A 12,210-nucleotide genomic window follows, 5' to 3' on the forward strand; every position below is an offset into this window, starting at 1 on the left:
CCAAAATTGTAAAATCCCATCTCTACTAAAAATACAAAAAAAATTAGCTGGGCATGGTGGCACATGTCTATAATCCCAGCTACTTGGCAGGGAGGCAGGAGAATCGCTTGAACCCGGGAGGCAGAGGTTGCAGTGAGCTGAGATCATGCCATTGCACTCCAATCTGGGCGACAGAGCGAGACTCCGTCTCAAAAAAAGAAAAAAAAAGACCCCATTCTCTTAGACACAAAAGTGTCCTCAGAGGCAAGCCATGCTTCATATTCAAGAGTCATAGGGCTGGACGCAGTGTCTCATGCCTGTAATCCCAGCACTTTGGGAGGCAGAGGCAGGTGGATCATCTGAGGTCAGGAGTTCGAGACCAGCCTGGCCAACATGGCAAAACGTCATCTCTACTAAATACAAAGAATTAGCTGGGTGTGGTGGTGCATGCTTGTAATTCCAGCTACTTGGGAAGCTGAGGTGGGAGAATTGCTTGAACCTGGGGGTCAGAGGTTGCAGTGAGCCGAGATCACGCCACTACACTCCAGCCTGGGCGACAAGACCAAAAATACGTCTCATAAAAAAAAAATAGAGTCATAGTAATATTACGAAGCCACATTTAGGAAGTTGTAGTAATATATTTGGGGCACAGGTGTCTCTATCCCCTGGGTCTACTGGTGAGCTATGTTGCTATTTAATAATTTGGTCAAATTATTTGTTCTCTAACCTAATCCAAGTCAACCACCCTGAGGAAACACACAACTTGTTACAAGATGAACTAGAGGGAAGTGTGAATGTCTCATCCTTTGCTACTACCAAAAAAAATCTGAAAGTAAACTACCCACTGAAATGCAGTCGGCAGTTTCATTCTGTTACCTGGACGGGGTTGCAAGCCTCTTTTAAAAAAAACCTTTGAGGTGCTGTATTTTGACCTTTTATTCCATGTGTCCTTTATTTTAAAAGATATTGCCTATCAAATTATGTTTTAATTAAGATTGATCATAATTTTTCTGCCAAGTGATTTAACAAATTAATATGGCTTTTCATTTTTATTAATCAATGTCATACATATTGTCAAGCAGTGCTTCCAACCAACACAAGATGAGCAGGGTTACCATGTCAAGTTAGAAAGGGAAATCACATTTATTGATAGCTTATGCATCCAGTTAATGTTTTTATTTAAAAATATTTTTTATTAGTTATTTCAACCTCAACACACTCCCTTTAATCAAATAACAGCTATAGTTTTCTATAAACTGTCCTCAGGGGAAGGGCACATACAACCTAGAATAAAGAAGTGTTCTACTGGTTATAAAAGACCCCGGCAATAATCTTTTATTTCTTTTCTAAAATCCCCCAGAAGAACAAAATGTTAACAACTCTTTTTTTTTTTTTTTTTGGGTGGGGGGCATGGAGTCTTGCTCTGTCGCCACGCTGGAGTGCAGTGGCACAGTTCCGACTCACTGCAACCTGTGCCTCCCGGGTTCAAGCAATTCTCCTGCCTCAGCCTCCCAAATAGCTGGGATTACAGGCGTGCGCCACTACGCCTCGCTAATTTTTGTACTTTTAATAGAGACAGGGTTTCACCATGTTGGCCAGGATGGTCTTGATCTCTTGACCTTGTGATCCACCCGCCTCGGCCTCCCAAAGTGCTGGGATTACAGGCGTGAGCCACCACGCCCGGCCAACAACTCTTAATTCTAGGTGACAGGATGACCTGGGCATCTGACGTCCACCACTATCCACCAGGACCGTGCACTGGCCAGGGTCATTTGATGGATTGCTGGTGCCATGCTGTTGATATATTCAATGCTTACTTTTACTTTCTTGAAATGTTTTCATTTCTCTGAATAAAAAAGTCATTGTATATCTTTGTCTTTCAAAATACATATTTTAATGTCTATACTAGAACAGTATCAAAAAAGCCACATCTTTACTTGCAAGAGCCAGGAACTTAAGAGAAAGGTTTCCGGGTGACTCCCAACACTAAGCTTGAAGTCACAAGGAGATTTAAGTTTGGAAGCCTGAGCTTAAAGTCATTTTAAAAAGTAGGAATGGCCGGGTGCAGTTGTTCATACCTGTAGTCTCAACATTTGGGAGGCTGAGGTGAACAGACTGCTTGAGCCCAGGAGTTCGAGACCAGCCTGGGCAACATGGCAAAACCCTATCTCTACAAAAAATACAAAAATTAGCCAGCTGTGGTGGCATGTGTCCAGCGATTCGGGAAGTTGAGGTGGGAGGATCACCTGAACCCTAGAGGTTGAGACTTATCCAAGTCAGGTCATGTTGAGAGTGAAGGCTGCATTACTGTTAATTACATGCAGACAATAATTATAAACCATGACCACCACAGGCAAAACCCAGGACACATGATTACCTTAACTCTAAACCACAAAGCATAGAGAAAGTAGAATATAATGTAAGGTTACTTCCTGTCAGGCAGGTGGAAAATAAAATTTTCCTGTATCAAAAAAGAAGATGAGAGTAACGTAATTTAGACTCAAATGAGAGGTCTGCTCAGGGCACCTCCTGCTCCCATTCCTACATTGGATTCAAAACTCTGGAGGAAGGGAATAGAAACCCGAGATAAACTGAAAATCAAAATGAAACAATGACACGGCAATGTTTAGGCAGAGATGGACTGAGAATCATTCGTTCAATTCAGCCATGTCTTTTAAAACAACTACTAATGTAACAAAGTACAGATGCTTCTGAACTTATGATGGAGGTATGTCCTGAAAAACCCATCATAGATTGAAAATACCAAGAGTCAAAAATGCACTTAATAAACCTAACCTACTGAACATCACAGCTCAGCCGAGCCTACCCTAAATGTGCTCAGAACACTTTTGGTACAGTATTTAGTAAATTACATGAGCTATTCAGCACTTTATTATAAAACAGACATTGTGTTAGATTATTTGGCCCAGCATTGCAAGAGAGTATCACATCACATATTGCTAGCCTGGGAAAAGATCCAAATGCAAAATTTGAAGTACTGTTTCCACTGAATATATATATCACTTTCACACCACCCTAAAGTCGAAAAATCATAAGTTGAACCATAGTAAGTCAGAGAACAAAATCATAAAATCCTTGCCCATGAAATCTCTCAAGGAAACTCTGTCACCCCTCCCTCACTCTGTCCTCTCCATGGAGAAGATCCAGAAGTCTCCACAGACTCTAGAGGGAACTCGGATTAGACAGCCAGCCTGCCTGCCAGGAGATCCCCACTGCTTGTAGGAGGGACCCCTGAGGCAGAGGCTACAGGCAGAGGTTGGAGGGAAAAACAGCTGGAGCTGTGGAAGCCTCAGTGCTCTTGGAGGAGGTTTTCTCCTTGAAGGAGACCCAGTGCCCTTGAGAACTAAGTGAAGGGCTGGTTTAGCAAGGGGGGGACTCTGAGCAGTGACCAGTCCACGATTTCACTATCAATGGACACAGGGAGGACCTGAGGGTCCGTAGGCCAGAGGTTCCCTCTCTGCCTCCATCTTACCACATTTTCCACTGTATTCAGTGAATGAGGAGGAGAATGAGGGGGCCCTAAAAGACTGTGAATTTGTCTAAAAGAATAACTGGAAAGTGACTTGGAAAAGCAACTCAGAAGAGCCTGTTGTTGGTTTTAAACCAGAAGAGACTATATTCTTCTAATGGGAGAGTTTAAGGTTGTTTGTGTCAGATTTTAATTTTTAACCAAACAGAAACAGGTGCTTATGAGCAAGGTGAATGCAGTTATGAACAAGGAAAGAATATTATCTTTCTGCCTTCCTTCATGGTACTTGTAAAGATAGCCTTGCTAAGGAAACTGTCTGGCCCTGTGCTAGATGAGGTACAGGCATCACCTCCTTAAATCCAGGTTTCAGCTCTGTTGGGTCTTTGTGCGGATGAGTAGAGATAACTTCTGCAAAGTGCTCCCAGGAGCCTTGCTTTACTTCTCATCTTACAGATGAGGAAACCAATGCTAAGAAAAGTGACTTGCCCGATTTCACATAGCTAACAATATGTAGCATTGAAAACTTCATATAAGGTATACTCACCTTCAATCCAACATAGCAATAATGTCATCTTCATTCATTCATTCACTTGTTATGTGACTCAGGCTATGCTATGTGCTAAAAGCAGATATAATCGTGACTTCACAGAACATGCCGTCAAGGGGAAGTTTGAGCCAAGAAAACATAATGATGATGATTATGATGTAGTGTGATAAGTTACATGATAGAGAAAGCAGAGGGGTCATGAAGGACCCAGGAGGGGTGCCTTTGCCGGCCCTGAGGAGGGAAGGGAAGAGCTGTGGGAGGAAGAGGCTTCTTAGCTGACATGGGAGGTAGAGGAGAGGGCAGCTAAGCAAGGGAAGGAAGGAGAGGAAGGAGAAGAGAATTTCAGCAAGAGGGAACCACAGGAATGAAGGCCTAGAATTAAGAAAGTTTACTTGAGTAATTGGAAGTAGTTCATTAAGACAAGCATTTAATAGTAATACAGCTGAAAATGACTAGACCTGCTTATAGGATAGCATACACCAAGAGGCCTGTGAAAGAGCCAGAAAGACAGAAGAATTTTGCAGCACTACAAAAGACCAGGAAGAGATTATTTCAAGAAGGAAGTGGTCACTGTGTCTAGTGCTGCCCAGAGGTCAAGCTAGATACAGTCTGAGAAGCAGTCAGTAGATTCAGCAAGCGTTGGCAGGAAGAGTTTTCATGGTGTGATGGGGTTCTAGGTGTCCCATGGTACGTACGGTGGTGAATGAGACTGAATGAAGTGGAAACAGTCATTCAGATGATGCCTGCAACAAATTTGGTAGAGAAAAAAGTAGAGAAATAAGACAGCATAGCTGGAAGGAAACATGAAGCGAGGAAAGAGATTTTTTTTTTTTTTTAAGATAGACTTGGGTAGGGCCAGGCGCAGTTGCTCACACCTGTAATCCCAGCACTTTGGGAGGCCGAGGAGAGCAGATTATGAGGTCAGGAGTTCGAGACCAGCCTGACCAACATGGTGAAACCCCATCTCTACTAAAAATACAAAAATTAGCCAGGTGCAGTGGCATGCGCCTGTAATCCCAGTTACTCAGGAGGCTGAGGCAGGAGAATTGCTTGAATCTGGGAGGTGGAGGTTGCAGTAAGCCAAGATCGCACCACTGCATTCCAGCCCGGGCAACAGAGCCAGACTCTGTCTCAAAAATAAAAAAATAAAAATAAAAGAGATAGACTTGGGTATGTGTAAATGTTGATCTGATCAGAAAAGACCAGTTGAGCAGCAGGAGCTGAAGTTCAAGAAAAGAATCTAACTGACAAAATGTTGCACCCAGGAAGGTAGAAGAAATAGGATGAGGAGCAAAAAGAGGAGCTATGTATGAATGCAGGAAAGTTTCTCATTTCAGGCAGGAACTTGAAAGTCTGTCTCATGTTAGCTGGAGAAGATGGTAGCGCCTAGGAAAGGTAGGGTGTTGTTTTTACTTATTTATTTAGGATGCGGGGCAAGGAATTTTACTTATTTACTATACACCGTGCTTTTTGCTCAGGACTTTACAAAACATTAGCTCAATTTATTTTCACAAAGCTGATCCATAGATAATATCACTCCACTTTCCACAGGAAGAAACTAAAGCTTAGAGAAGTGGAATACATGGCCCAATTACACAACCAGCAAGAGCAGGGCCAAGATTCCTAGCCAGGTCCATATGACTCCAAAGCAAGGTCTCTCCAGATGTGTGTGCAGACAGAAGGGAAAGGGTATTGAAAATGGGAGATTAAAAGAAGCAAAAGAATAGTATTTGGTGAAGGCAAATTTTAGAGTAGAGAGACCTAGAAAAAGTGAAAGAACTTCTTTTCCTTAAGGACAAAGGCAAAGAAAAAAGGAAAGAGGTAGAGGAAGATAGAGAAAAACAGCAAGAAAAGGGACATATTTGTGATATGTCAAGTCAAACAGCCTTAATCTTTGTTATTAATTTGGGATAAGGTCACTGTGAATGTGGGCTGCACCCACGTGCTAGGTTTTGGGGCTACGGCACAAACACATGAGATAAAGTCACCACCTCATAGAATTTAGAGGCTAGTCTAGTGTAACCGACATTAAGTGATAATTTAAAATAATCAATTGAGTAATTACAAATGCAGAGTGGGCTATAGTGGGGAACTCTAAGAGTGGGAAGGGTTTGGAACAGCGACCTTGGAAAAGTAAATAAGAATGTGATAAAAAAAAAACCGTCATACAATTGTAAAGGCTTAAACTTAGATTCCTGGAGGAGTTACAATGCACCAAAAAGGGAGCAAGAACTTTTAATTTGATGGTGCATCTATTATTCAAAGAGAGAACCCATCAGTTCCAGGCTGGCAGATGATCCTTGAACCTGGAGAATAGCAAGGATTTAGCAAGTGGCAATTGGGACATAGAGGAAGAGGAGAAAGACAAGCAGGAAGTTAAAAAAAAAAAGTTGAAGCCAGAGAAAGAATTTTAAAGTAACATCAGCAAGCATTGATAGCACACTTACTTTGGGCCCAGCACCGCACCTAGTGGTTTATGAATCTTATGGTACTGGCTTCTCATGGCACATCTATAGCTTAGGTCCTGATATTTTCACCACTTTTTAGGAGAAAAAAACAAAGCTTAGAGAAGCCAAATAACTTCCACAAGGTCACAGTCTGTAAGTGGCAAGGATGCTAAACTGCAAAGCCAGCATTCTCACGCATGTAGAAGGACTAGCCTCTAGCTCTGTGTGACAGTAACCTGAGGGATGCCTGTGCCAGTGACCACTGAAGTGGAAGGAGAGGACTCCCACTGTAGGGCAAGACAAGGAGGCCACAAGTGACACCACAGATGGTGACATTTCCAGGTGGGGTGGAGAGAAAATAAGAAAAGTCACTGAGGAAGGCAGAGGGGTATCTGAGCATATGTCAACATAGAAACAGGGTGCGCATAGGCAGGAGAATTCAACTAAGTTACACCATAAGCAGTTAAGGCCGACTCGGCAGGGATGGAGATTTGGAGTTGGAGATGTGTGGTGAACTCATAGCCAGCTCTCATTACCTGGCAGCCTGCTGAGGCAGAAGCTCCACGAGTCTCAGCTGGGAGCACCAGTTCTGACCAAAATCAGCCCTATCATTAACTGTGTGACTTTGGACAACACACTCAACTTCACTAGGCCCCAGCATCCTCATCTGTAAACTAAGGGGGTTGGATATGATGAGCTTTCCCAGGTAGAGTTAGCACTCTGTTCGGTGTCCTCATGGCAACTTAAATTAGCCTGTATCAGACACAGCTCTTAGCTGATTGATTTTCACAGCTCCACAATTCCATCCTTCTCCTCATCAATGTCAATGTCAGTGTCATCACCGAGTTCTGTGCTGCCCAGTTTATATACATTAACTCAATCCTTACATCAACGCTCCTAAGCAGACAGAGGCTCTGGCGTCACACAGCCTGGCATGACCTTGGAAAAGTGCCTTAACATCTCCAAGCCCAAGCGTTCTCATCTCTAAAATGGGAATAATGAATAATGTCAGGACTTACTGAATTGGGCTGTTATAAGGATTAAATGAGGCAAGCCACGGAAAAGTGCCTAATAGTTCATTATAAGCAGTCAATAAGTGTTAGCTCTTAGCAAAGTGTGTTTTATAAATAAGGAAAGTGAGACATGGAGAGTTACTTTGTAGTCGCTTGGCCAGTAAAAGGTGAGAAGTGACTTTGCACACACATCTGCGTGACTTCGGAGCCACCCTCCTCTCTCCTCTGGTGACAGCTGGCAGGCCTCCAAAGGAGAGACGGACTGTAAGCCCAAATCAGGCAAACACACCACACACATACCACAGCCCAGCAAGTGTACCATTTAGCTCACAGACCTGGAGATTCTCCACCAAAAGGACACCTGCTGTCGCCTTCTCTGTGGTAAGAACTGAGGCCGTTAGGTGCCACCAATAACTTGGAACCTGCCTAAAGTCTCTTCTCTCCCACAAAACTGATGGCCTGGTGGGGTGGCTTTTTCTTGTCAAAAGAGCTGAAGTGTGAGCAGAAAGGCATCTTTCCCAACCATGGCCAGGGGATGCTGTAACGAAGAACAGCTGAGTGGCCTTGTAAAGATGCCATGTTCTCTCAGGCAGCCTCAGCCCAAAATGTGGTGGCCTGCATTTCCAGGGCAGGCTCAGAAAGAGTGAGAGGAAAACCAAAAGAAACTTGAAAGTTGCCTGGAATTTCAAGGGAAGTGCTTGAGAGATGGGAAAGGAGGGGAGAATGGCCCTCCCTCATGGGCCCTTCCTGGGAGGGTCTGGACCTGAGATGCAACAGAGAACAGATTGTGGCAAAGACACCCCAACAGACACAGATCACAAAGGCTTGTGCAGACTGCACCTGCCCTCACCCCTCCTCCTCTGCTCACCCACTTTGTATGCCTATCCCTCTCAGCCCCAATCTCCCCCAACTCTTTTTATATTCCCAGAGCCTGCACTGAACAAAGAGATACTTTAGTCTGAATAATGGAAGGGAGAAGGTGGTAGAGGGCACTGCTGCAGGAGCCCCTCCTCTTGCCTGGAGCAGATGGCAGCAGCGGGCTTCTGTGGACAGACCACTTGTTCCCCCACCCACCCCCCTGGCCCACCTTTCCTGCTTATGTGACCAAGCAAACAAATCCAAACACAACTGCGTAAAATCCTAGCCTACTGCGTGGAATAGAGCCAGCTCCACACTGTTTCTCCCCTTCCATCCACCTCCCACCTCCTCCCAGCGAGCTTTTCATCTGCTCCTTTCCCTGACTCCTCAGCATCTTTCCCTGCCCCTCTCCCTGTTCTCCTGTTCTCTTTCCTTTTTGTCCTCTTCCTCTATCTTTCCCCTTTCCCTCCACCAGGACCCTCCTGCTTGTCCATGAACTGTAGTTGGTTCCAAATACAGGATGCTGGTTTATTTCTGAAAGGCTCATTCGTGTCTCCCAGCATCTCTCAGGGTGACATGCTTTGCATTAGCTGTGTTTCCTCTGCCGGGGCCCCATGCACCCCAGACCCTGCTCCCTCCCCAAGCCCAGGCAACTGAAGTCCCCCCGCCCCAGTTTCCCCCAACAGATCTCAGGCAGTTGGAAAGAGTGACTACTCTCTGACCCCTGAAGCTGTTCCACCTGGGATTCTGTCATGGCTCTAACCCACACCAGCTAAGTGTGAGCTTGGGCAAGAGACTTAACATCTCTGTGCCTCAGTTCCCTCACTTGTAAGATGCAGGTCCTAATAGCATCTGCTCCATAGGGTTCTGGGATGTGGTAAGTTCATACATGTAAACAACATGCAGGCCTGACACATAGACAGTGATTGTTCAATCCAGGTTAGTGACTATTATTCCTTGTACTTCAGTGGCTTAAGGAGTCATCATACAGAACATAACATACCCAATACAAAACAATCCTGAGTAACTGAAAGGCAAGGAGGTGGTGAACAGTTTGGGAAAATGGGAAGAGAAATGACAGAAGGACCTGCTGTTTTGTCATTTCATTTTTATTTCACTTTGGTTTTCTTTGTACGACCCTTCAAGAAGTCAAGGGTGCTAAGAAAATTATAATTTTTTGAGATTGATACACATCTAGTGACAGAAAGGGAAAGGCTTGTGTCCAGAATTCTTGGAACAGTGAGCAGAATATTGGCATCTACCTGAGCATCCACAGAATCTCCAAGAACACACCTCAGCTGTGCATGCTGCCTGTGGCTGGCTTTCTCCCTCTAGTTATTTGATGGAGGATGCTTACATAAGAAAGGAAACTGGGTCACTATGAATGAGCAGTGCAGCTGGTACAGCAGGGAGTGGAGCTTAGGTAACAGTTCAAGGCCCAGGAGCACTGATGTAGCTGGCATCAGGGTGGGCTTGAGCCTAGCTCAGTTCCCAGGCTTGGAAAAATACAAGAGCACAACAACAAAAACAATTTATTTTAAGTTCTCTATTTATGAAAATGCTGTCCTAAAAACCAGAGTCCTCTTGTATCCCCGAACAACTGGAGAAAATAAGCTGGTGAATGGGTTCCAAGACCAGATAGAGGAAAAGAATGGAAATTACATTTCTAAAATCCAGGATACATATACTAATAGTGATGCCAAAACTTCTTTGATCCAGAAACAAATCACTGCTTTGAAATTCATGATGAGAATAGCATCAGGATCACAGCTCTTCTTTTGTGAAATCTGTGAAATAAATTGTTTTTAAACAAATAACTGGAGGTGGCCACAGTGGTTTGCACCTGTAATTCCAAATATTCAGGAGGCCAAGGCAGGAGGATCTCTTGAGCCCAGGAGTTCAGGGCTGCAGTGAGCTATGATCATGCTACTGCACTCCAGCCCCGGCAACAGAGCAAGACCCTGTCTCTAAAAAATTTTAAAAATAACTGGGACTAAGTAATATTTATGTAGAGAGATTACGTAGAGAACAAACTATTTCCAGTTGTGACATTTTATTGGCAACCATTTGATATGCTAATTATACTTCAGTAGTGTGATTAACGTAATTTTCTTCAATGATCTCTACTTCATTAGTATATATGTAGCAAGATGATTTATTATAGTTGTATTAGGACTTGAAGATTGTTAAAGTCTTTGCACCAGAAAGGACATGAGAGAGCCTATGATCAAACCCTACACTGGACACAAAAATGGTGAGCTCTGAGGTTGCATGGCTTCTTATTCTTAGGATGTGATAGCAGAAGAGTAAGGAGAGCCTGGGTTTACAACTCCTATTCCAATGTTCTTTCCTATTTTATCAAGGAGAAGCTGAGTTAGATAACCAGAAAATCAAGGTGGAGCCTGTATCTGCAACTATTATAAGAAATCAGCAAGAAATTTCCATTAAGGGGTAGACAAAAGAAGTGTCCCCCTAACAGGGTGAAGGTTTAGCATTCACGAAGGAATCCTTTAATACAGGAGAAGTATTATAAAACATGTAGCCGGGCGCGGTGGCTCACGCCTATAGTCTCAGCATTTTGGGAGACTGAAGCGGGCAGATCACGAGGTCAGGAGTTTGAGACTGGCCTGACCAACATGGTGAAACCTTGTCTCTACTAAAAATGCAAAAATTAGCTGGGCATGGTGGCAGGCGCTTCTAATCCCAGCTACTTAGGAGGCTGAGGCAGGAGAATCGCTTGAACCCGGGAGGCAAAGGTTGCAGTGAGCCAAGATTGTGCCACTGCACTCCAGCTTGGGCAACAGAGTGAGACTCCGTACCCCGCCCCCTGGAAAGAAAACCCTCATGAACACCAGTCCATAGCCTAAAAGATTTTGAAAATCAAGTATCCAGAAATATTGGTCTAGTTAGTTTGATGTAGAAATACTGCAGGGACTCACAAAAAAAAAAGGGAATATATCAAATTTACCTTCTGGGCTTTTAAAAACTACATCCTCAATGGAATTCCCTCACATGCATGGGGAGGTTTGAAGGGGGCCTGCCAAAAGCTCATGAGGCAAAGGGGACAAGTATTATGGGATTCAAAGAAACCCTATTGGCAATTCTAATACTACCTCCAATCCACAAACTCAAGCTGCCTGTGGGATCAAGAAGCTGACACCATCTCTGGCATATAACAGGCATGAAATGCATGTTTTCTCAAAGAATTTAATATTATGTTAGAGCAAAAATAATTAGAATAGTTATTTTTTATTGAGTTCCTCTATGGAGAAGTCATCATGATTAGCATTTCAGAACCATGATCACACTGAACTCTCACAACTGTACAAGGTAAGCCTCATCATTCCCCTTCTACAGATGAGGAAAGTGAGGTTCACAGAGGTTAAGTAATCTGAATACAGTCACATCGCTGGTAAGTGACAGAAGGGGTTAGAAGCCTGTCCAGTTGTTTTCATTCATACCTTTCTCAACAGGCTTTTAATAGTTGCCTAATATATTCCAGGCATTCCTTCAATAAAGACCAAATGCACCCACATTTCTGGGTCCAAGTACAAACTACAACAATGTGAAGATGATGGCAAGGAAGCAAAGACATTTATTTTCCACCCATTTCTACTTTGCACATCTTTTTCTAGCTCTTATCCTGAATATATCCAGAAAGTACACCTGCCATATTTGTTTATTTACTGTGGAACCCTCCTCCCTACATATGTGGAAACTGGGATTCACAATGTACTGCTAGGGATGCGCTGTCTGAGCACTTTGGAAAGCTTCCATACGAGATACAGTCTTTAGTATGTTTCTTGGAAAGCACAGGCCACCTGCCCCACCAGGATGCTCCAGACTCCTGGTTTTACTCATGTGCCTTTGAGAACA

At 43.7% G+C, this 12,210-nt stretch overlaps 1 protein-coding gene across 9 annotated transcripts in view; it reads right to left on the reverse strand.

Annotated features, from left to right (window-relative positions):
- RGS8 (regulator of G protein signaling 8) overlaps nucleotides 1-12,210 on the reverse strand; it is a 110,559-nt gene that overhangs the window by 6,727 nt on the left and 91,622 nt on the right. The window lies entirely within an intron of this gene.

Source organism: Homo sapiens, chromosome 1 (genome assembly GCF_000001405.40).
Source record: "Homo sapiens chromosome 1, GRCh38.p14 Primary Assembly".
Lineage (NCBI taxonomy): Eukaryota > Metazoa > Chordata > Mammalia > Primates > Hominidae > Homo > Homo sapiens.